This window comes from Homo sapiens, chromosome 19 (genome assembly GCF_000001405.40).
Source record: "Homo sapiens chromosome 19, GRCh38.p14 Primary Assembly".
In the NCBI taxonomy this organism is placed as follows: domain Eukaryota; kingdom Metazoa; phylum Chordata; class Mammalia; order Primates; family Hominidae; genus Homo; species Homo sapiens.
In genome coordinates this window covers 31,100,444-31,126,458 of record NC_000019.10, presented here as the reverse complement: position 1 = coordinate 31,126,458, position 26,015 = coordinate 31,100,444, and the positions used below count along the sequence as shown (strand labels likewise).

General features: G+C 46.2%; 2 long non-coding RNA genes across 3 annotated transcripts in view; one reads left to right on the top strand and one right to left on the bottom strand.

Moving 5' to 3' along the window:
* Positions 1 to 904, top strand: part of LOC105372356 (uncharacterized) — a 14,575-nt gene extending 13,671 nt beyond the window's left edge. For both annotated transcript variants that reach the window (XR_001753895.1, XR_001753892.1), the window contains one exon: positions 380 to 904. This is a non-coding gene — a long non-coding RNA (uncharacterized LOC105372356). The remainder of the gene's footprint in view (positions 1 to 379) is intronic.
* LOC124900621 (uncharacterized) lies at positions 710 to 26,015 on the bottom strand. Its single transcript, XR_935901.2, has 3 exons — positions 25,965 to 26,015; positions 7,111 to 7,222; positions 710 to 772 (listed from the first exon to the last, which is right to left on the bottom strand). It is a non-coding gene; the product is annotated as an uncharacterized LOC124900621 (long non-coding RNA).

Here is a 26,015-nt window from a genome sequence, read left to right as displayed (position 1 = left end):
TCATGGAGACGGGAGAAGGCCCAAGGATCCCACGGAGCTTGTTTAGTGTAGTTTCCACTGCATCAGGGTAGCACTGCGTGCAATGAGAGACTTTGGCCATTCTTAGATCTTAATGCCAAATTGTACCTGGCTTGCTACCACAGGCTAAAGATTAGAAGGGCTAGAATCAACAGTTAGGTGGTGATCAACTTGGTAGAAAGCGGGTTTGTCACCATGGGCCAGGGTCATGCTTTCACTTCTGGAATTTGGTTACTGCTGGCAACTTTTTGGGAAACAGTTTTGGGAAATTATGTAAAGAGAATTGTAGGGGGTTTAGTAGTGGCCTCCAAAAAGATATGAGCATGTTCCAGAACTTGCAAATGTAACTTCTTTGTTAAAGAGTCTTTGCAGGTGCTTTAAAGTTAAGGATCTCAAGATGAGACCATTCTGGAATATCCAGGTGGATCCTAAATCCAATGACAAGTGTCCCTGTAAGAGACTGAAGAGGAGAGGACACGCTTCTCTGCCTCCGTGGGAGAAGAGGAGAAGGCCCGGCAAAGACGGAGGCAGAGGTTGGAACTCTGCAGTCACAAGCCAGGGAACATGGAAGCCACCAGGAGCTGGAAGAGTCAAGGAAGTGTCCTCCCCTGAAGCCTCTAGAGGGAGCGAAGCCCTGTAGACATTGGCTCATTTTTGGTATTTTCTTTCTTTCTTTTTTTTTTTTTTTTTGGTAAAGATGGGGCTTCACCAGGCTGGTCTCGAACTCCTGATTTCTGACTTCCAGTTCCCAAACCTGTGGGAGAACACATTTATGTTGTCTCTAGCCACCAAGTGCATGGAATTTGTTATGACAGTTACAGGGAAGTAACACGGGAATTTTATTTTAAACCCTACATTTGGCAAAAAAAAAAAAAAAAAAAAATGGGCAAAAGACACAGACAAAAGTGGGCACAGCTTTGTGAGCAAATGGCCATGGCTTTTTGCAAATAAACTTTCTAGTAGGAGAACTTACTGATGCATGAGCCCAGGCAGTGGAAACTGAAGGAAGCAGTCTGGTTGGAGGAAGCAACGTCTCCATCCCAAAATCACCATGTCTCTGAATGAGAGTTCTTTCCACACCCACACATAAGGGGCAAGAACAGTGGAGGGGCCACAGCTGGGCTGCTTCCAGCATCTGCAGGCTTCCCAGGTCCAGGGAAGAGAAGCCAAGGCTGCATGCACTGGACCATGGCGGATCACGGATTGTTGGTTCCCACCGTAGAAAACTTCCAAAGCCTGCAGTAGCCACCTCTAATCGAGTGGTTCTCTCTTGGCACAGCAAAAATGTTCACCATTGAGTACTGGGCATTAGACTCTGGCCCTGGTGCCCTCTGGCAAGTGACACTAAAAATCTCTGAGAGATATAAGAATGAAAATCAGGAGCTTGGTGTGGTGGCTTATGCCTGTAATGCCAGCACTTTGAGAAGCCAAAATGGGAGGATTGCTTGAGGCCATGAGGTCCAGCCTGGGCAACACAGTGAGACCCCATATCTACTAAAAATACACAAATTAGCTGGGCATGGTTGTGCACCTGTAGTCCCAGCTACTCGGGAGGGTGAGGTGGGAGGATCACTTGAGCCCAAGAGGTTGAGCCTGCAGTAAGCAATGATGGTGCCACTGCACTCTAGCCTGGGTGACAGAGCAAGACCCTACTCTAAAAAAAAAAAAAAAAAAAAAAAAAAAAGAATGACATCAAGATATTGTGCATTCCATCACAGGTTGATGGAACTAACTCAGGGAAACAGCAGGAGAAACTAGAAAGTATATGCAAAGCATTTACTCAGCATCAATGGAACAGCTGCCTCCTCTATTCAAAGGCAATCTCTACGATGTCCTCTCTTTGGCCCCTGCCACCCCTACCCAGGCCTTTGCTGTGGTCGTTCTCCTGCTGGGAAGCCTAACCTGTTCCTCCCTTTGTCTCTCAGTGCCATCATTCTTTTTTTTTTTTGAGAAGTAGTCTGGCTCTATCACCCAGGCTGGAGTGCAGTGGTGAGATCTTGGCTCATTGCAACTTCCGAGCTCAAGCAATTCTCATGCTTCAGTCTCCTGAATAGCTGGGACTATAGGCATGTTTCACCATGCCTGGGTAATTTTATTTTTTATTATTTATTTATTTATTTATTTAGTAAAGACGGGGCTTCATCAAGCTGGTCTCGAACTCCTGATGTCAAGTATCTGCCTGCCTCAGACTCCCAAAGCGCTGGGATTACAGACATGAGCCACTGTGCCCAGCCCAGTCATTCTTTAAACCCATCTGCAGCCCACTCCCCAAGACATTCCCAGGAATTCCACTCCCCGCTCATTCTGCCCTCTAGGACTTCTTGACATACATGTTTGACTCCCTGTCCTGAAGTATTCACTCCCTGGTGAATATATCTGCTCAGAACCAGAAGCTCTCTGGGGGCAGGATTTGAGACACAATTGTATTTCTGTTCCCCATAAAACACAGTCAAGCACTGGGCACATAAAGCCTGGGTTGAAATTTCATTCATTCATCCACAAGTGTTTATGGAGCACCTTCACCCATTCTGGTGCTGAGTGCCAGAAATAGACAAGAAATCCCAAGTTCTGGCCTGCAAGGAGCTCATGTAAGTAGTTTTTTTTCTAAAGACAGTTTCAACTATTGATACAAATGCGACAATGCCAGTGAGGCAGGAATCTGGTAGTGAGACGGGGCTTGAAGGCTCTTTAGAATGAGGTGGCCGGAGGGATGTTTTTAAGCAAGTGCTATGTACTCTGCAACCCACAGTGGAGAAAAGGGCCACCTTGGGGGTTTGGGGATAAGGGGTGCTCCAGGCAGAGAGAAGAGCAGGTGCAAAGGCTGCAAGAGAGGGTCATGGAGCAGGTGTCAGGTCCAGCAGGAAGCCCACAGCTGCAGCCCAGAGACCAGGAGAGCATGACGGGGCAAGAAATGGAGAGCTGGGTGAGACTGAGCAAAGCGGTGGGATTCACTATGAGCCAATGGGAATACACTGGAGGGCCGGGCTGGGGAGCAAGACATGAGTGGATTTGCATTTTCTTTTCTTTTCCTTTTTTTTTTTTTTTTTTTTTTGAGACAGAATCTCACTCTGTCACCAGGCTAGAGTGCAGTGGCGCGATCTCAGCTCACTGCAACCTCTGCCTCCTAGGTTCAAGCAATTCTCGTGCCTCAGCCTCCTGAGTAGCTGGGATTATGGGCATGTGCCACCACACCCAGCTAATTTTTGTGTTTTTAGTAGAGACGAGGTTTCACCATGTTGGCCAGGCTGGTCTCGATCTCCTGACCTCGTGATCTGCCCGCCTCGGCCTCCCAAAGTGCTGGGATTACAGGTGTGAGCCACCATGCCTGGCCTGGATTTGCATTTTCTAGAATTCATCCTGGCTGCCCTTGGGCAGAGAGGCCCGGACGCCGCAAGCAAGTAAGGAAGTGAGCACACTCTAGACAGATGCTAGAGGCTTGAGCTAGTCGGTGGCCATGGTTCGGGAGAGAAGAGGAAAAGTTTCGAATGTGTATTTGTGGATTGATTTTTGTTGTTGCTGTTGAGACAGGGTCTTGCACTATCACCCAGGCTGAAGTGCAATGGTGTGATCACGGTTCACTGCAGACTTGAACTCCTGGGTTCAAGCAATCCTCCTGCCTCAGCCTCCTGAGTAGCTGGGACCACAGGTGTGCACCACCACACTCAACTAATTTTGTTTTATTTTTTGTATAGACAGAGGCTTGCTATGTTGCCCAGGCTGGTCCTGAACTCCTGGCCTCAAGACATCTCCCCACCTTGGCCTCCCAAAGCGCTGGGATTACAGGGTAAGCCACCACGCCTGGCCTGGATTGATTTTCATAAATGCCTCTTGTGCTGGCCAGCTGAGGCATTGCTACCTCCATCTTCCCACCCCACACTCCTGCGTGCTGTGCCTCGTATGATTCTTCACCCCTTCTTAAAAGGAATGCAAGCTCCAGGGCTACTTATTGCAGGATTTTCCTTCTTGAATGGGGAAGCTTCTTTCTAGCCTTCAGTTTTCCCAGAAGGTCTTTCCAGGGAAGGCCAGTGCCCGGGAACCAAGCCTGATGTCCCCAGGTCAGAACACCCTCACTCTTTCCTGAATGGCTAACCACTCTATGTCCACAGAGTTGTGAATATGAATGAAAACAGACGATTACACAACATTTGACAGATATTGATGAAGCACATATGCACCTGCAAAGTACCCAGCACTTCATGGCCAGAGTAAAGAGAGCTGGCCAGGTTCTCCCCAGACCCAGGTTCAAGCCCTGGTATTGATGCTAATTAACACTGCACATTTGAGCAAAATATCTGAACTTCTCCATCCTCGGTGTCTTTATAAACCAAATGCAGACAGTAGTACATAATTTACAAGATTCTCATAATAATGAGAAAACAGATATCATGGTACCTATTGGAAATAATAATAGCTGCTTAGGCAGCAGTTGCAATGGGCCAGGCCCTAATTGAAATGCTTTGTGAATTTGCTCATTTCACACTTACAGAAAGCCTAGGGGGTATTATTGCTGTTTTACAGACCAGGCACCACACTAAGAGATGAAGTTACTTGCCCAAGGTCATCCGGCTAGGAAGTGGTAAAGCTGAGATTTGAATTGGGTCTTTGTGGCTGGTGCCTTTGTTCTGAAGCACCGCATGGTGGTCACTGCCTCTGAATCAAGGAACTCACTCAGTGCCCAGGAAATGTTTATTGAATCTGAGCCTGGGAGTTTGTAGCAGGTGCGTATTGAGGTGACTAAGAGCGGATCATCTATCTTGGAAAATGTGTTATCATGTATAATAAAGATAAGGCATGTGCCATGTACATTCCCAATTCAAGCTGATAAACAAGGAGACCTGTTCTGTGTAGTGCGGATGTGGAGGAGAGAGGGAGAAGAGGAGAGAGGAATAGCAGTCACTGTAACCTCCAACTTCAAACCAGGGGCTGCCAGTGGCCGGCAGAATCGGACTGAATGACAAGGGGCCTGGGCTTGATTCTCGGTTCCTGCTGTCTGCCTGCAGGCCTCTTTAGAGCCCCGTGTTTTCAGGACATCACGGTGGAGATGTGGAGAGGAATCACAAAGCTGTCACCAGGAAATGTCTGCCGGTGTAGGGTCAGGAAAGTGAAGAGAAGCCTGGGCCTCAGAGGGTGACTGACAGGAGACATGCCAGGGCTGAAGGCTGGCGTCCAGGGAATTGGGGGGAGGATAGGCCAGGGTGGAGCGGGGAGGCTGGAGAAGGCAGGTGGGATGGTAGGGAGAGCTGCAGGCAAACAAAGCTAGGGCAGAGTTCTGGGTAGTACAACTGGTAGAAGGGGCTGGCTGGAGAGGAAATTAATTATCGGAGCAAGCAGCCTCCTGCACAGCTACCAGTCTGATCCCCTGACAGTGCCCAACAGTGTGTCGTGGAGACGAATGCAAGCTGCCATGTGCCATCCCAAAGTCCTGTGCTGGCGGGCTGGTTGGTGGCCACCCCATCACAGAAAGGATGAAGGCACACTCTGAGCAGTGTTTTAATGTTCTTCAGCCGTGCCAGAACTCAGACAGAAATGAAAGGACCTGTGTCTGGTAATTAGGCACATGCCAAGCCCAAGTACGTCATCAGAAGAGCTTAGATTGGATGCCCTTCCTTGGGTGCTGGGTAACCCCAATTGGGAGAAGTTCTGACTTTAATCAAAAGATTCTTTCTTCTGCATAGAAAATGGCCACGACAGAAACTTGACGTTTAAAAAGAAAACACCTTTTTCCCCCCCTTCAGATAGATTAATTAATTCCGAAAAGGTGTTCTGAATCAAATATCTAACAGATTGTTCATAAATCAGACTTTTGTGGGAAGCTTGTAATTTTGAAGTGGTCACAAACAGTTCTCAAGGGTGACTTCTTTAGAACCTGAATAACTGGTAAAAGCCAGGAATGCATCCCAGGGTGGGAGGGTTCCTGACCATTCCTTCACAGGTGCGGTTGGCAGCTCTCCCAGCCTGGTCCCCTGGCCTCTTCTCTGCACATTGATCACAGCTTGCCTGCACGTAATTGAACATTAGCTCTGCTCACTTCCTCTGCCGGCCTCTCCATGAGTTCCTCTCTGCACTGGAGCAGCCAGGGTGAGATCCCAAATCCACAAGTCCTCTCCCCAGGGCCATGTTTGCTAACTAAGCCAGCCTTTTTTTTAGCATGTCATGGAAGCCTCCATAGGCCTCTTGCCACAGCCATTGACCACAGGGCTGGCTTCTACTCAATTTGCGGGAACTCATGGGGCTGGAAGCCAGCTGACTCCATGGGCCCACTTGGAGAACAGAAGACAGGATGGAAAACAGGCAAGGACCACAGGGAGAATGAACTTGGCTTCTTGCCTTCTGAGTTTGCCCCAGCTGGTCTGGAGACAGGTTTGCTTAATGATCCCCAAAGAGTCATTTCTGCTCCTTCTTCATGGGTGTCAGCTGAATTTTTAGTTATCTCACTGGCTTCTTTGGAGGGTAATGTTTCTGAATTATGTCTCACAGGCTGAGCAAAATGACATTTTAACCACAATCACAACCTTAAACCAAATCTTACATAGATCAAATTCCATGTTTGATCTGACATCAGTGAACTTTCTTATAGAGCCTCCTTGGGCATAGGAGCCATCCAGCATGGGTCAGCCATGGCTTCCTCAGCACAGTACTTTGTGCTTCTGGGAACGCCTCTCACCACCCACCATCTACCTGCTTCCCAAGGAGCAGCCATGTTTGTCCACATGACACAATCCCTGGCCACAGTTTATTGGCTCAGCAAAGGACCCACAATCAAGCTGAGCCAATCATGTGCTTTCTTGAGAACCTTAAACGTGAAACTGAGTGAAAGAGGCCATTATTTTCTTTTTAAGTTGCACTGTAGTTATTGAAGCTTAGGGGGTGCTGGCAACTTGTTTTGTTTTAACCACAAAGAAAAATTAAATGGCAACAACAGGGAGTAGGGCTGAGAAGCAAACATTCAGAGTTAAAAAGGAATAAGAGACAGAGGCCACTGGTGGTGTTGGAATGTCTGGCCTCTGTTGTTCTTGAAGCCCAGCTGCATTCTGGCGAATGTGTTCCTTGAGCCACCCCAACATCCCGGTAGTAACAGCCCTCCTTTCTTACCCTCCTCTGAGTTGCAGCCAAAAGATCTCTGGTCCCTCAGAAATCCCAACAGCCTCTCCATCTTATGTTAAGCTGGAGTTTGCTGCTGTCCTCGTCTCCTGCTCATGGACATCTGGAGAATGTCAGAACCAGAGGAAAGAATGACAGTCACTGGATGCCAGATTCTTCATCAATGCTGCAAGATGTCTCTGGCCTCACTTAGCATAGCGACAGAGCCTTAAGTGAACCCATGCTTCCTGGATCCCCACTTAGCCTTGTCCTTCCTGCTAGTGGGTGAGCGAGAGAGAGGGGCCCCCTGGCTAAGAGACTTGGCAGGGGTGATGACAAGATGCTCAGCAGGATAGAGCCATCAGACTGTGGCTGTCATCGGGAAAGACAGAGACGTTTCTGCTTACAACTTTGAGGCTTCCAAACTTTTCCTGGTACGAGAGAGTGTTTCTTCCACCTTAAACTACATGATGGAAAGATATGTGAGAATAGAAAAAAAAAAGCGTGTGTTGCTATGGAACTGCAAATCCCTGATAGAAGTCTTCCTCTGAACCACATCCTGCATCGACGAGACCACCCAGCTAGTCTTAGAGCAAGATGGAGTGGCCCTCTCAAATGCTATCATTTGCTGTTACCTACATTCCTCCAGGCCCTATGTAGCAGCCCCTATCATAGCCATCACCCTCAGGATTTGAATCAATTCCCCAGTTAGCACACTAGGGGAAAACAAAGGCCTCATTTGAAGTCTCTCCTGACTGTATTCCTTAGGAAGCTGTCCCACAATGCCTCGGTGAGGGCTGGCAGGCGAGCTGACTAGCCCCTGCCGGACAACTGTCAGGTTGGTTGAAGGATATTAGAGGGAAGTTGATCATGTGTCAACGCTTCTCAGCGCCCACTCACATCAGGGAAGTGATACAGCTGTCACTGTGGCCGACGAGGCGGCTGGCAGAACAGGCCACGTTCACCAACCCAGCTGTCCAATTAGATGCAAGGGCCTGACCCTCAGGTGTGCGGGAGGCAGGGAAGAAGTGCTGAGGAGGACACCACTACCAGCGGTCTCTGAGGCTCCTGGGCTGCCTCCCTGGCTGCCTGTGTCCCACTGAACAGATCAGGGATGCAGGGACATTCAGTCCAGTGATGCTGGCTCCTTCATTCTAACCTTCTCCCATCTGCATTTCTTTATCCTGTTTCCTCCCTTCCTCTCTCCTTTCGTTTCTTCCATCCTCCTTTCTCCCTTCCTGTCTCTTGGGGTGGGTTATGTGATGAGAATATAAAGAAAAGTTCCCAGAACTCCTCTGGGGAGACAGTAGGAAATATGTGAGATTTGATTAGACATTGAAAGAAAAGCCAAACTGTGGCAGAGAACTCTTTAGTGCTTTGTTCTCAGTGCTTTTAAGAATGCTAGTGTGGTGTTTGATTAAAGAACATAATCAATTTGGAAACAATGCTCAGTGTGATAACATGGGGGAGTGTTGTTGAAAACACTGCTCTTTCTTTTTTATCCAATTTTCCATTAGATTTTATTTTATTTATTTATTTTCTATTTAACTTTTTTTTTTAAGTTCAAGGGTACAAGTGCAGGTTTGTTACATAGGTAAATCGTGTCATGGGGGTTTGTTGTACATCTTATTCCATCACCTAGATTATTTTATTTATTTATTTATTTATTTAGAGACAGAGTCTAGCTCTGTGGCCCAGGCTGAAGTGCAGTGGCACCATCTTGGCTCACTGCAACCTCTAGCTCCCGGGTTCAAGCAATTCTCCTGCCTCAACCTCATAAGTAGCTGGGATTACAGGCATGTGCCACCACATCCAGCTAATTTTTGTATTTTTAGTAGAGATGGAGTCTCACTGTTTTGGCCAGGCTGGTCATGAACTCCTGACCTCAGGTGATCTGCCTGCCCTGGCCTCCCAAAGTGCTGGGATTACAGGTGTGAGCCACCTCACCCGGCCCCGTCACCCAGATTATTCAGTCTAGTACCCACTAGTTATTTTTTCTGATCCTCTCCCTCCTCCCACCCTCCATCCTCTGATAGGCTTCAGTGTGTGTTGTTCCCCTCTATGTGTCCATATGTTCTCATCACTTAGCTTCTTCTTATAAGTGAGAACATGTGGTATTTGGTTTTCTGTTCCTGTGTTACTTAGCTAAGGATAATGGCCTCCAGTTCCATCCATATTCCTGCAAAGGATGTGATCTTCTCTTTTATGGCTACATAGTATTCCACGGCATATAAGCACCATATTTTCTTTATCCAGTCTTCCATTGATTGACACTTAGGTTGATTCCGTTTCTTTGCTGTCGTGAAAAGTGCTGCAGTGTACATTTGTGTGCATGTGTCTTTATAACAGAATGATTTATATTCTTTGGGGTATATACCCAGCAATGGGATTGCTGGATCAAATGATAGTTGGTTTTAGGTCTTTGAGGAATCACAACAGTGCTTTCCACAATAGTTTAATTAATTTACACCCCACCAACAGTGTGTAAATGTTCCTGTTTCCCCACAGCCTCTCCAGCATCTGTTATTTTTGACTTTTTAATAATAGCCATTCTTACTGATGTGAGGTGGTATCTCATTGTGGTTTTGATTTGCAATTCTCTAATGATTAGTGATGCTTAGCTTTTTTTTTTTTTTCATATGATTGCTGGCCACATGTATGTCTTCTTTTGAAAAGTGTCTGTTCATGTCCCTTGCCTGCTTTTTAATAAGGTTGAAAACACAGCCCTTCTGTTGTGGCCTTTCTCTTAAAAAAAAAAAATAAATAAATACATAAATAACTAGGCCAGTGCCTGTCATTGCAGGACTTTGGGAGGCTGAGGTGGAAGGATTGCTTGAGGCCAGGAGTTCAAGACCAGCAACATAGCCAGACCCTGGTATCTTTCCCTAATGTATGCAGCCAGTACTTGGTAGAGACTGTCTCCACGAAAATTTAAAAAAAAAATTAAAATTACCCAGCCATGGTGGTTCATGCCTGTGGTCTCAGCAAGTCATGTGGCTGAGGTAGAAAGATCTCTTGAGCCCAAGAGGTAGAGGCTACATTGAGCCATGATCACACAACTACACTCCAGCCTGGGCAACAGAGTCAGAACTTATCTCAAAATAAAATAAAAATTAATAAAATAGAAATAAATTTTAAAAATAAATCAAGGCATCATAAGTCAGCTGTGTCTTTGTGTATTCTGGGGAAGCAACAGCATGTCCTTAGGAGGCGAGCTCATAATGGGGACTGTGGTTTCAGGTCTTACCTCTACCCTGCCTTGTTCTCTAAGTCCAGGACAAGGATCCAGTGTGTGCTTAAAAGGCCCTGGAGTATTCTTCTTTCTCTTTGTTGAGAGGTGTACTGACATAGGCATGAGCACACCCATCATTTGCATTAGGCTTTGAGTGTACTGAAGACCTCCTCACCCCTTAGTCCCTTTGCTTTTCTCTGGAACCCTATAGGGTGGTTGCCATCCCTCCCATTTTGTAGGAAAGAGAACAAAGTACCGATGGTGTTGCTATCTTTCCCAACTGTATGCAGCCAGTACTTGGTAGAGACTGGATTCACTCAGAGTTCTTTATTCCAAGGTTCCTGGTTTGATACAGGAAAAATTTCAATATATTGAACAAGACTTTAAAGAAGAGCTCTACATTTTGGGAGGCCAAGGCGGGGGGATCACCTGAGGTCGGGAGATCGAGACCATCCTTGCTAATAGGGTGAAACCCGATCTCTACTAAAAATACACAAAATTATCCGGGCCTGGTGGCACATGCCTGTAATCCCCAGCTATTTGGGAGCCCGAGGCAGGAGAATCAGTTGAACCGGGAGGTGGAGGTTGCAGTGAGTCGAGATGGCACCATTGCACTCCAGCCTTGGCAACAAGAGCGAAACTCCATGTCAAAAAAAAAAAAAAAAGAAAGAAAAAAAACCCTCTAATTCCCACTCATTTATTTGATTTTTCTCTTTTCCAACTCTGTGTCCACCCCTAATCTGCTGTGTGACTGGAAGGAGCTGAAGCCCCCAAAGTAATTGCTTCTACAAAACTCTTTCCAAGAAGTTCCCCTGGGCCCTGAGTTAGGGGGTGGGGTTTCCTAAGGTGTAATCCTTTTAATGAGATTTTAAAGTCCTTATATTCCTTAAAGAGGTTTTCCTAAGCTATAGTCCCTATCGATCCTTATACTGGGATCTTGCTGCAGGTTTTCTGGACAGGAAAGTCTATCACTTTGGGAAACTAAATCTTCACTGTATCTCTGGACTGTGCATGTCCACTTGCAGTTGTGCCCAGGTTATTCTTGGGGTGCGGCAGTAACTAAGCAAAGCTTTCTGCATGAACGTGGTTCCTGGTGTCAGAATCAGAAGAGTTTATGTTGCAAATATACCACTTAGTTGGATTTCTAGTTTGTGTTTTCCTTTTCTTTTCTTTCTTTCTTCTTCTTTTTTTTTTTTTCTTTTTGAGACAAGGTCTTGCTCTGTTGCCCAAGCTGGAGTGCAGTGGTACAATCATGGCTCACTGCAGCCTGACCTCCCCAGCTCAAGTGATTCTCCTGCCTCAGCCTCCTGAGTAGCTAAAACCACAGGCATGTATGACCATGTCTGGCTAACTATATTTATTTATTCATTTATTTTCTGTAGAGACAGTGTCTGGCTATGTTGTCCAGGCTGATCTTGAACTCTTGGCCTCAAGCCATCCTCCCACCTTGGCCTCCCAGAGTGCTGAGGTTTTAGGCATGAGCCTCTGTGCCTGGCTGGATTTCCATAGACAGAGCATCATCCATTAGATAATGACCAGTCCTCCAGCCCATGATTTCCTCTTGTACACACCCCTCTCCAGCCACTCAGGGTCACTCATTCTCCCCTTGTTCATTTCTCACCCCAAGACTTTGCTCCTGGGGGTCTGTTTTCCTGGAGGGCCCTTCCCCTAAGCTATTATCCCTGTTATCCCCTGCTCCCCATCTTCCACCCAGCCAAAAGTATCCTCTTTCCTCCAAACTCCTATAACCCTTAGTTTACACTTTCTTTTCGGTAATTGTTACTTTTGCCCTAAGGCCACCACTATCCACATGAGGGGATGAATCCTGTCCTGGGCTGGTGAATTACAGGTGAATTACAACCACTTTTAGATTCACATGTTACCTAGAGCTACTTATTAGTAATCCATTAGGAAGGTTCTTGGGTTAATGTAATGAAGAATTCATAAATAAAAATTAAGAATATACTAGAGTATGTGGAGAACTCTTCTACCAAGTCTGGATGGCAGCAGGGCAGAGTTTCTGGTGCACCTGGCCCCATACAGAGTATAGGACTTTCTGGAAGGTCATTCTATGACTGGTCTCTTGAGTAGATCGTGATATTTCAAAGCTGCCGATCTTGCTTTTACAATTTACAAATTACATTAAACTTTGCATCCTTACCAGTTTGCTGCAGTTTGTTCCTCAACCCTACAATGTAGACAGGAACACATTTTTGGCTAAAAGTATTATCGACCTCTAAATTAAAATTTGTTATTTAAGTTGAAGACCTGTTTGCATTGTGATTTCCGTATGAATCATCTTTGCTCCTAATGCTAAAACCAATTTATACTTTATCCCCAAACTGTTGTGCTTGTATAGCCATACTTCATGGGTGATGGTCTGTCAGTGAATTTGTTCTCTTTAAATGGCTTGCAACATATTATCAAGGTAAATGCAATAAAATTGCTGGGCTAGTGTTTACTTTATGAGGCATTGTTTTATAAAATAAAACCAAATGTGTATATGCTTATCTTCATCTCTCATAGAGTAAATAATACACAGTTTATGTGTGTTACTAGCAACTGGCTGATTTTGTTATTCTCCATTTGTTATCACCAGATCTCTCACCACAGAAGAATGGGAATGGGAGGGTGAATGTGTGCCTGAGTCTAGATGGGTAACGGTCAGAAACATTTGAGAAATGTGCCTTCCATCATTGGACAGCTGATCTTCCTGTTTTACAGTGACCTCCTGCCCCCTTAGTGAGGTGTCTGCTGGAGCCATCTCCCCATCCCATCCACCATTCCAGAGCCAGATCTGTTTGCAGATCTCAACCTCATGATTCCTGTGAGCTGAATGAATGAGCCCCGTGTCCAGGGACCACCCACAGTGTTACAAGCCAAGCCATAAAAATAGTCATAAATGTAGCTAGAATTTATCTAGCACCTTTCTTCCTAAGAATTTCCAGAAATGCTTTCACTTTTTTATCTCACTTAACCTTACTGACCTCTACCTGGGGTCTCCAGGAGTTGGTGGAATTTGTACCTTTAAAAAGTCCTCCCCTTCCCCCTTCCCCCTTCCACTCCATTTGAGAGCCATTTAGGACAGGACAGGCTCCCTACCAGCGACAGCCTGGTACCCACCCTAGTCAGGACCAAACTATGCATTCCCCAAGAGAAATACAAGGAAAAATCCAGAGTGTGAATGCAAAAAAAAGAAGAAATGAAAGAAAGAAAATAAGAAGAAATTCTGTCTTGCAAGCAGGCTCTTTTGGAAGAAAAATGTACACACACACACAAAAAAAATCCCTGGGCATTAAGAATGCCTAATTGTCTTAATTTACTTGCTGTTCTTTTAAACTATGCTAGTTCTGGCCCTGACGCCACTTCTTGATGTCCCGCCTAGACTCTGCATCAAATGTAGCTCACAAACAGGGGGCTTGTATTTTAAAGTGAAGTTTTGAAAAATTAACTGTTCTCCTTTTGCCCTTTCAACTCCCAGATGGAAAATCCCACCCTGATTAGCCAATTGATTTACTCAAAATAAAAACACCACCTTCCACTCTTCTCACCCGCTGTTCTTCTTCCCTCGAGGTTTTCTAACCAGGTGAAGGAGGCCCTTTGCTCCCCAGAAGTTGAAGTCCTTTGGGATGCTTGGGACTGAATCGGGAGAACAAACTGGGCTTCCTGCTAGTAACTGGATCTGTGTCGCTATCTTCCCTCTCTTCCCAAGAGCCATAGCTTTTGTCTGGCAGACACGACTGCTCCGGTGAGCTCCACTGAGCTCCACTGAGCATGCGCAGGTGTGCAGGTGGCTGGTGGCACCCTCAGACCTGAGTGGAACGCCCGATTTGCACCAGCATGTAAGGAGGTAGTTGGGACTGTGAAGGCTGCATATTTGGTGGTGGAGAAGTACTGTGGTCTCCAGTTTTTAGGTGTCCTTCCTATTGATGTCTAGCTTAGGAGGCGTAATGTTCTGGGTTTCACGAGGACCTAGAATCACTGCTCTGACTTAAGGACAACAGGAAGCAAACACAATAGAAATGAACCCTTAGTTTTGGAGGGTGGTGAGGAGAGCCCCGGGAAGGGTCAGAAAACCTGCTCCTTCTCATTGTCTGCTCTCTGTGGACTTGCTCTGTGACCCTTCCTAGTCCTTCCAGATGGTCTGTAATATCTCATATTAGTTTATCTCATCTGGATTTATCTGATCCAACTCCAAGCCCTGAAGGTATTCCCAACCCCAGTTCCATCCTCCAAAGACTGCTTGTCCCAGAAACAGCAGGACAGAAGTCCTCCCCAAGCAGAGAGGGCAAGGGGAACAAAGACCCCGGAAACTCCTTATCTCTTGTACGTTCTCCCCATGTTTCTCCCTACATCCCCCCACTTAATTTTCTTGACAAAACAGCCATTGTGTTTGTTTTAAAAAGTATATACATGCATGCACACATACATATATATGACATGTAACGTTATAATGATGTTTGTTTAAAAAATGATACATATATATATGTAATGTTATATGGATTTTTGGTTTGTTCTGTAAACATCATCATGCACAATTAATACCCACAGCCCAGGGAGTTGTATGAGTGCATCACTGTGTGGTTTCGTGATTTATAAGACATGCGAGCTGATGGCTGTCAGCTGGGAGACGCAGTGACCTGCAGAGAGTACTGGAGCCCTCTTTGCTTCAGCAAAAATGAGAAGTGGGCCATGCCCAGTGCTCACGGCTATAATCCCAGCACTTTGGGAGACCGGGACAGGAAGATGACTTGAGGCCAGGAGTTTGAGACCAGACTGGGCAACTCCCAGATAGGGAGACCCCTGTCTCTACCTAATATATATATTTTGATTAGCTGGGTGTGGTGGTGTGCATGCTTGTAGTCTCAGCTACCTGGGATGCTGAGGTAGGAGGATCGCTTGAGCCCAGGAGTTCAAGGCTGCAGTGAGCTATGATTGCACCGCTGCACTCCAGCCTGGGCAACAGAGCAAGACCCTGTGTCTCCAAAAGAAAGAGAGAGAGAGTGAGAGAGAGAGAGAGAGAGAGGGAGAGAGAGAGAGACATACAATTATCCAATTTGTGCCAAGATAGACTGAGGTGGGTGAGCTTCCCAGAATGAAAATTGAAGGGGGCACCCACTCTCAGCTGCAGCCCTGCATGTGCTGGTCCCTGAGTGCAAAGTCTCTTTGCAATTTGCTCTCCGGGCACCCCATTGCCTCTCTCTAGTCTGTGCCCTGCCCAGAGAGCAGCTCCACACTCTTTCCTCAGTTTGCATGGTGCTCCGTCTGTGGACTCTTGTCTCTCTTCCCCTCACTCTGCTTCTTCAGAGCCCTTGCCTCCACTATTAATATGCACTTCTTTGTGCCTTTATGTGTCTAATGCTTCCATCTTTCCACCGAACTGTGAGTCCCACAAAGCCTGGATCAGGCCTGTTCTGTTCTATACAAATTCACCCCTGTGCTTAGCGTGGAACTTGGCCCCATGCAGACGCTCACAAAATGAATGAATAAGTGATCCTGAGAGAAGAGGAGAAAAGGAGCCGGCTGGCAGGGAGTTCATGGGGGCAGAGCCCAGGTCTAGCAGCTCTGGAGATGTGGGGAGAGGCTGCCTCCCACAGGAGCTCTGGTGTAACCTTACACAAGAAGGGCCAGGATGGGCCACGTCCCGGAACTGTGATAGCAAAGTCAAGACTATGCAAGGACAGGATGGAGAAGATAGGTCACCCCACAGGCTGCTGGGTGGCTCAGGAAACTCAGCACCCCTGGATGGGACCCTGATTCCTTTACCCTTTCCCATGCACACAGCTAGCCTCACTTTTCAGAGCTCAAGACTCTTCCCCAACCCACAAGTCTTTGTAGGTTGGCCAGCCCTTCGGGGAGATGCCCTGCTCTTCAGTGTGGCCCGTCCAGTGTTTAGATGGCCTGCCACACCGGACCCACAAATCAGCCTGCACACCTCTCCCTAACTTGTCTGTATTATGTTCATTTGCTGGGAGGTGATAAATATTAGAATAAAATAAACTAAAGATGGCTGGTGAGGGCTCTGTTAGCTATCTTTATGGTCTCCACTGCAGCTGTATGACAGCTTAGCTTGGGAGCAAGCGGTCTCTTTTCACCAAGTAACTTTAGCCTTGGGAAAGATGAACATCAGCTAACTCCAGAGCTATGATGGTCGGTACCAGTCAGTAAATCAGTCAGATTTTAATTACTGGATGGATGACAGGGTGCAGTGACAGGTTGCAGTCCACAGGAGAGTCTTCCTTCAAAGCCACTTTAAAACCAGAGAGTGCTTCAAGAGGAAAAACCAGATGCAGAGATCAGAGGCCCAGCTCAAGAGGAGGGTGGGTTCCCCTTCCCATCACTTTAACCACTTCCTGCTTGCATGTGGACAGAGAGAGGGGAGCCGGCAGCTGGCCTGGTACAGGGAAATTTCCTTCCTTCCCCCACCTCTTATCTCAAATTTCCCCCTTGCCCTCCTTTTCTTTCAGCCCTGTGATTTTTAATGGGTTCCTACAGCTCTTTGCCTCCGCGGCTGTTTCGTGCCAAGAAAGCCGCGGCAGATTTGTAAAGTGGCAAACCCTGCTAATTAGTTAGATGAAGTTGCCTTTCTGACAGTGGCCCTGGCATCGGAGAAGGTGACATACCTTAGAGTGACTGCACCGGGGAGGCCTCTCCATTGTTCTTCTCATGCTCTTCCCACCCCCCTTATTACCGATGCCCTGATAATCACTCTTCCTCGAAAATCCCACCCCAAAGCTGCTCCCTGCAGGCCTGGCTCCTGGCAGAAAGTCTCCTGCCTGGTAAGGAGCCCCCCACAGACCCTAAGACCTTCTCTAGGAATGCTCTGCCCCCAGCACCAGAGAAGGGAGCTAGGGCAAGGAATTTAGGATACATGCATGCAAGATTTCACCTTGTGTGAGTGGAGCCCGGGGGACGGGACGGGGTGATGGGAATGACTTGCAGTGACTTTGGGGACATTGGGATGTGCTGTTTCAGGATGTCCTTTTGTACTGCCAAATGGGTCTTGGCATCCTGTGGACTGCAAACGACGTGAAGACCAAGACCCTTTCCTGGTGAAAGTGACGGAAATCATCCCTCCTGTAGAAACTGTACCCCAGCCAGGGCAAGGTGATGCTCTATCTCCTCTTCTGCTCCGTTATGGCCCCTGAGAGGTGGCAAGGCCCGTAGAGATCACCTACTATGACTTCCTTACTTTGCCAACAAGAAAATGGGTCCTGGAGAGGGACGCGGACTATCCTGAAGTCACCCAACTGGGTGAGAGAGAGTGATGGGTTTCCTGCTTCCCATCCCACTCAGTCTTGTCCAGTTCTGTATTAATCAGCCATCTGCAATATGGCTCAATTGCAACCCACATCCTCATTGAGGGCTGAGGGTTGTTTGTTACAAAGCTCACAGCAAACGGGCATTTCTCACTGGGCCTGTGGGTCGGATACGGCAACTTTGCTCCAGGCTGCAAGTCAGATTCAGGTCTGCTCCTTTACCTCTCATTCCAAGGCTCAGGCTGAAGGGAACGTGACCACCTTGGGCATGTTCCTTTCCTGGCAGACTGCAGGAGTGATAGAGTGACAGCCAAGTCCCCCAGACACAGGCAAAGCCTGTGGTTCCCTCATGTCCCCCCAACATCCATTGACCAAAGCAGCCACATGCCTAAGTCCAAAGACAAAGAGCCACCTACTCTACTGGGAGAGATGGCAAAGGCACACACCTCACGAAAGCTATGGGTGTAAAATCCCATTACAAGGGCGGGAGAAAGGCTAAGAAACAATAATCCAGTCCATTCCCTACTGCAACCCAGTGAGCTTTCCAGACGGCAAATTGGATGAAATTGCTTCCTTCTCTCCCAGAAACGATAAGCAGTTCCTTATTACTGCCAGGAGAATCTCTAAACTCCTTAGTAGGAAAGCCCGTCACATGGTCCCCACCTTGCCTACCCATAGCCTGAATATCTCCTAGATCATATCTGGTCGATCTTAGAAACTCCCCTAACCAGCCCTCTCTTGACCAACTCAGAGGTAGCCAGAGCCACCATTCCTTCTAGAAGATGCCCTGGATGATGAGGCCCATAGTGTCCTGAGTGCTCAAGGTTGGGGTAGGAGGGGGGGTGCACTGGGTGAGCTGAATATTTCCCAGGAATCAGATGAGTTTATTCCCAAACCTGCTTTAGTTGTAATTGTCATTATGCAATTTAATAAATTGTGCACATTGATCAAATAAGAGGTGAAAAATTAGATTTTTTTTTCCCTATGAAAACTAAGTTGAAGGCTTTGGAAAGACTCCAGAGAGACCGGAGTACTGATAAAAGTTCCTACAAGGGAAGCTATAGTAGTATAGTAGAGTATATGTCTGAGGCAAGAAATCGTGAAGATAAAGATTCTGCACTTAAGTGACTGCACAAACTGTCTCCATTTTGCAGAGCCTGAAACTGGAAGTGGTGGGTGCTACATCCCAATGTGGTTTCTGCAAGAAAGGGGACATAGGATCCATTTGCAAACTCTGACCTGAAGGCTCTGCATCTGAAGATTTGGGGACTCTGCCTTTTTATATCCCTCCGCACAAAGGTGGTCTCCATTTCTGTCCCAGCTCATGGAAGGGAGACCTTCTGGCTGCATTTGCTGTAGAGTTAGTAGGAATGGGGCCCAGTAGATCCTGCCGGTTGCCCTCAAAGTTAATTGCATCAGAGAGGCCCTCCAGGACCCAGGAACTGTCAGAGCCACCCAGATTGTGGCACCTGTGCCCCACATGAAGAGTGTGCTTGGGTTTATCTTTCCAGCTGTGGGTTTGGGTCACCACACTCCATCCCAAACCATCAGCACAGATGGGCTCTTCTCCTCGTGATGCCTGTGCCTGCCCAGACGGCCAGGGCCAGAAATAACCACTGAGCCTTGGGAATGCTGCACTGTGGAGCCCACAGCCCCGTGTGCGAGAATTCAGATGCAGTGAACACATATGCATCTCCTCTTTCGGGAGACGGGCTCCACGTCTACAAGTGAATATCCTCCCAGGGGGGAGCCCTGAAATGCACTTGAACTCTGATTTGTTTTTAGCACTTTACAGTCAGCTTCAAAAAATAATTTTAATATCTAGACTTCTTTTGGGAGAGGGTTGTAATGGAAATACAGTATTTTCCAAAGATTAAACAGAAGCCCACAGTGAACAGAGGCCTCTCCTTGGTCTCTGCACAATTGTAAATATAATTTTTAAAGAAATAAGGTATAATGCAAATGATTATTTATGTCCCGTTTCTCCATTCCAAGTAGAGAAAAACCTAACTAGTGTTTCTGCTTTCCTCATTTCCTAATTCCAAAAGTAATTTAACAAAAACAAACAAGTAAACTGAAGGGAATGGTAAAATAATCGGTAACTCTCGAAAGAGAACAGCAGTTTCTCGGCTTTTAGATTAATTCATTTTGTTCAATGCAGATGTGTTAAATCTATTCATATCCACATATTCGAGATGAGTTATTTTACTACATTGTTGTGCTGTATAAAATGAGTTATTTTGGTGAATTAAATGCTAGGGTGTAATTTTCAAAGGAAACAGAGGTTTGTAAATGCAGCGCAATGCATGTCAGTGTTTCAATGTGATTATTAAATATTACAGGAAATACATCTCATGATCGTTTACCTTTTTCCTTTTGTCTTTTTTTAAATGTGTATACAGGTTGTGGTGCAAATGGATATGGCAGCTACAAAGATGTCAAAGAAAATGCAACTATCGTCATTCATGGAATTGTATCTCCCCTTGAAGGATACACATATTCTATTTTGCTAATCACCATCAAAGAAACTGAAACAACTGAATGCTTGACTCTGATATCTCAGCATCCTTTACAGCAATAGTGCAAGGGGGTGAGGGAGGGAGGCAGTGAAGTCCCATGAAAAAAACCAATTTCCATAGAGTATTCAATTTGCCAAAACGATGGCTCAGAGAAAGCTAAATAAGTTGATTACTGTATCTGGTATGGACTTATGGAGTGTTTCTTGATTTTGGAATGCCTTGCCTAGATTTGAAAATGAGCTCGGAGATTCTAGCCCCAGAAGGAAAATAGGTAGGGACCTTCCTTCCCATTAGCTCAGTGGCCAAAGTCACTGGCCCTGGGAGGCCACTGTTCTGCTCAGCACAGGCATAGCCAGTGAACCCTCCTGAATTCAGCATTCCAGGCCATTACTACCAATCCATCACAATTGGCATGCAAATTGAAATAAATTTTCCCGCCCAGAGTGAGACCAACTCGCCCACTTCATAGTGTAGAAAGCCCTTTTTACCTCCACTCTATAAATTCTTAAAATACCGCTGCTGCCAATAATCTGGGAGTGTCTTTCTGGGTCAGCTGTGGCTTTGGGCAGCAGCATCCTACCTTGCTGGTTGTCACTGATTGTAGCCACTTCCCACAATCATCATGTAAAAGCAAAAACACAAATGGAAAGAAATAAGGAAATGGAGCCCAAACTTTGTCTTGGGGAAGAAAAGCTGGGGTTGGGGGCATTGAGCACTTCTCCTTGGCCATCTCCTCATAGCTTTGCCCCGACATGAGTACAAATTCTGATGAGAATTTAAAACAGAATATGACTGGTGCTGTATCAATGTCTTTTCAAATTTCAGGTCAGAATTTTAAAAATCTAAAAACAAGACATTAAATAATGGAAAAGAAAGCCCTTGATTTTCCCATTTTCTTTTGCATTGGATTGCAGGTTGAAGCCAATGAGAAGGAGGACAGAGTGAGTGCAGAAAGCGGGAGAAAGTTCAGGCAAGAAAGGAGAATGCATAGAGGTGTCTGCTCCAAGCAAAGCCTTCTCTGCACTCCCTCATTGAATAGACAAAACATAAAAAAGACAGCAAAGAAAGAAAGACAGAGGGCTGGGCGCTGTGGCTCATGGTTGTAATCCCAGCACTTTGGGAGGCCGAGGTGGGCAGATCACCTGAGATCAGGAGTTCGAGACCAGCCTGACCAACATGGTGAGACCCCCGTCTCTACTAATAATAAAAAATTAGCTGGACAAGGTGGCAAGTGCCTGTAATTCCAGCTACTAGGGAGGCTGAGGCGGGAGAATCACTCGAACCCATGAAGTGGAGGCTGCAGTGAGCTGAGATTGCGCCATTGCACTCCACCAGCCTGGGCGATGGAGCAAGACTCCGTCTCAAAAAAAAAAAAAAAAAAAAAAGAAAGAAAAGAAAAGAAAAAAAGAAAGTAAGAGATAGCTCAAGAAGAATTTTTGCCAAAAGTAAATAAATAAATAATAAAATAAAATAAAATAAATACAATAATCTCCTTGGTAGAAACGGGGTGTCTGGGACCCACTGCATTGTTGAAGAGCAGAAGCCTCTCCACGCTCAGCTTGTTGCGTTTATTCTTGGGTGAGTTAAACAAGGAGGTGGGAAAGCAGAGCCTGCTTTATGTTGCAGCTCTCTTTTCCCCTCATTGAAGTGGGAGCTTGAGCGATTTGGTGGCTGGATCTGGGAACCTGTCTGCCAAACTCCACCTGCTGAAGGGACTTGCTCCAGCTGTTTCCAAGAGCGCCTCTTCTGCAAAGGTTTATCAGAGAAAAGAGAGCTAATAAAAAAACATGATGAATCAGGAAGCAGAGGCGAGCCGAGGAGCTCACTCTAAGGAGCCTCCCGCCCTTCCTTCTCGGGTGCCAGCCCACCCTAGCTCTGCCCGGGCACCCACCTGGTGTGAGCCTAAGGAGGGTCTAGAAACAGCAGGCTGGGCTCAGAAGCCACCCACTTGAGTCCTTAATGCTGACCTGAGCCTCTGTGGTTTCTCTGAGTAAGTGAGTGCTGGGCAGTCAGAGGAGATTTACTGACACTATAGGAGACCCTGCTTTAGCAGTGCAGGGACTTTGGATGCTGACATTCACCTCACCCAGGGTGAGGATGATGGGTGATGTGACCTTGGAGTTACACCCTCAGTTGTTCTCAGTCCCATGATGGGAATGTCTCACTACATTGCATTACATTTTACAAAATAAAAGACATATTTTTAAAAATACAACGAGGATCATAAAGGCAAGCTAGTACTTCTAATATTCCTCCCGAGATTCAACGGTGTACCCTACACGGGAGGGAAAAATGGCTTGCTCACCCAACTGGGAGGCCACTGTGGGTCTCGAACAAAATACCATCCTAAGGGATTTCCACGCATAACTTTGACATAAATGACTTTCACCTTCGGATATACAGGTATGTTTACATGGGCACAGAAGCACCAGGAGGCTTAGACACTCTGATCCTTGATTTGCTGTAATATAAGAAAGGGGCTTTGTGCTTTAGGCCCCAAGCCTACCCACTGATTCCGTTGCAAATACTTTGTAGGTATCTACTGCAAGTCAGGCTTGTCCTGGATTTTAGGGTCAGGAAGAAAACAAGATAGTCCTGCCCTCAAGATGCTTGTATTTAGCAATGGGCAGATACACAGACATAAAGGAAGATAGAGGTAATAAATAACTTTCCATCACATTATTCCCCAAATCTGGACCTTGCTGTGGGTTTCACTTTAATCATCTCATCTTGCGCTGGATTAATAGCTACACATCTTATTAATACATACCCCACACCTTCTGCAAACCTGTTAATTCCTGGGACCAGAGGGGTCAGAGGCCCAGTCCTGAGTCATGACATTTTACAGCTAGAAGGAAAGGACCAGTGTCTGTACAGCACATTGCAAAATGAGGGTCTGGTTGCTGAGGTACATTCATTCAACAAGTGTGTATTGAACACCTATTTTGTCCTAGCGCTGAACTTGGTCTGGGGATGAACTTGGTCTTGGGATATTGTCCTATCCCTAAGAGGCTCATCACTGGGTATAATGGCTCACACCTGTAATCTCAGCACTTTGGGAGGCTGAGAAGGGAGGATCACTTGAGCCCAGGTGTTCAAGACCAGCCTGGCGAACATAGTGACATCCTGTCTCTACAAAAAATTTAAGCAATTATCCAGGCATGGTGGCTCATGCCTGTAGTTCCAGCTACCCAGGAGGCTGCATTGGGAGGATCATTTGAGCCCAGGAAGTTGAAGTTGCAGTTAGCCATGATTTTGCCATGGCACTCCAGCCTGAGTGACAGAGAGATCCTGTCTCAAAAACAAAACAAAACAAAACAAAACAAAAAAAATTTTAAAGAGGCTCACACTCAGAAGGTAAGATAGAAACAGAAACCATAATTGGAAAACAGGAAGTCCCTTGCTAAGAGACACACAGGATAGAGAAACAGGAATGCAGCCTGAGGAAATCAGAGGAGGCTCCCTGGAGGAGGTGATGCTGTCATCATGTAATCTGATTGTTATTACTTCCTTATGTATCTAGAATTCCCTTGCTCCATGTGAGCTCTGGGAGGGTGGGGCCAATGTCTAAGGGTTTCCACTTGGAATACCTATTCCTCCATCGTTGATGCTTTGCTAAGATTTGGGGAAAGAAGAGGTCGGCAGGGGGTAGGATGAGAGGCATTTCAGGCAGAAAATATGTAGGAAAATAGAAGCAGAGGCATAGGGACCAGACTATGTGAATATACTTAAGCTAGAGGAGGGGAGAGCACCCAGAGATCCAGAGTGAATGCCTGTGGCCAGCCTTCTGCAAGCAGCCCCCCTGGGTTTGATCAGCACCAGCACATTGTTTAAAATATACTTGGCTGTGCACACAGCAGGGAGCTCCGGAAGGCTCTAGTCCCTCCCAGGCCAACACGACTCTCTGGGGTGTTACTCCTGCTCCATTCCCACGTCTCCTAAAGAGGAGCAGGTGCGACACCCTTGGTGTAAATGAAGTCTGAACAGGTGGCGTCTTGTCCTTTCCAAGGACCAAGAATTCTGCACATTTCCCAGAAAGGTGTGTGGCTTCTTGCAAGATTACCCCCTTGCTCTACAAACCATTCCGCTTGTTTGACTTGCACATTCTCTCCTCTGAAACACACAAGATGCACTTTTGGAAAACACGCAGGAGCTCCCCCTCTCCCATGTCAATCCCCAGCTTCCTCTGTGAGGCCCTGGGCAGACTTCCTGAGCCAGGCCCCATGCTGGCTCCTCCACCTCCCTTTGGCAGGTTTCAAGATTTTCAAACACGGGTAAAACAGGTATTTCCCAAGATAGCTTCTACATATGTGGCAGGGATCTCTTTTTAATAAGGGCTTTCAAAAGCAACCTTCTGCTTCTGAGCTTTGCAAAACACGGCTCTATAAAAAGTTAGCTAGCCTCCTTGCAGCACGCCTTGTTAGCTTCCCTTGCCATTCGCTTCCTGTTAATTCTGTGATTAAACATTTTGCCCCCAACTGTATGAGACATTAGATGAGAATGGAACAATCCTGCCATGAAACTGTGGGTATGGAGAAAGAGGATTTTTTTTCTTTCCCCCCTCTTTCTCCTCACAAATAGGAGATTTACGGTAATTAATGCCATTTAGTTTAATCTATAAATGTTTGAGGAAGTGATGCTATTTGTTTTAAGCACTACTCTCAGCAAGAAAATGCAGAGTCCCCTCCAATTTCTGACTTTATGCTCAAGAGCTAATGAACTGAATTCTTAGTAAACATTGGCAAAAGATGCAAATGAACAGACAGAGGCTCGAAATGCAGAGGGACACATGAGAAGGAGCTAATTTTACACAATTGACTCTGTAACCTTTTTGGATCAGTGGAATTAGAGACTGATTAATCAGCCATGATTAGCACTTATTGAAGCTTTTGACACTGGCGCATTGTTTGTGATTGTTTCTGTTCCTTCTTTCTTTCCTTTTTTTCCTCTCTCCCTTTTTGCTTTTCTGCCCTCTTCTTACTCTCCTGGGGTTAACAGTTTCTAATACATTTCACAGCCCGTCTATCATCCTGGACGGGTCGGAGCTAGTCTTTATGGACTTTTAAAATTAATACTAGACAGTTCTCTCATGACATGCCCTTGCTTCTGCTGCTGCGCTTGGCTGTTTAATTGTAGAGGTGGCCTCTTGTGGCCGCATGCTCCCAATGTTTAGCAAGGGTTGGAAATATGGATGTTAGGAGAAAAACTGGCAGATGGCTGACAAGGCATTTTTACTCATAACACACCAGTAAAACTTTAACTCAGAAGATTTAGTGCGAGAGCGTTCCAGCCAGCAAGCTGCAGCCATATGCAGATTTTTTTTTCAAACTTCTAAACTGATGGTTTTGCAAAGTGTGCATAAGCAGCCTTTATTGATTATGATGTTAAAAATTGAAAGCGTCAGTATCATTTAGCTCAAGACAGTTTTAAAGGAAAAATGAACATTTGTTTTCATTATGAACTACGAAAAGGCCAGGGGCTGGTGAGGTCCACATTCATTATTTCTTAAATTCCAGAGAGGAATTCTCTCAAGTAGGTGTCTCTTCAAAATAAAAAAATGAAAAAAATTGTACACACTTGAAGGATGGTTTTCAAGTCGCAGTTCACTAATTCAAGGTGAGGTTACGCGGAGCTCATCAGCGTGACTTGTGGGCTGGTGGTGAGGGCACACCTCGTGAACTGCTTCTTGGCACATTGGGGATGGTATTTATACTGCACTCTATGTGAACTGATCTCACCCAAAACTATGCTAAATAACTCTGAGGACCTGACAGGAACCCACAAAACTAGGGCAGACCAGCCCAGGGCCTCTGGTGCCTGCCCTATTTCATCCCAGGGACTACAAGGGCGGCTTACCTGGAAGCAGTCGACTGGCCTTAACCTCCATCTTTAGCTGCTTTGTTTGTG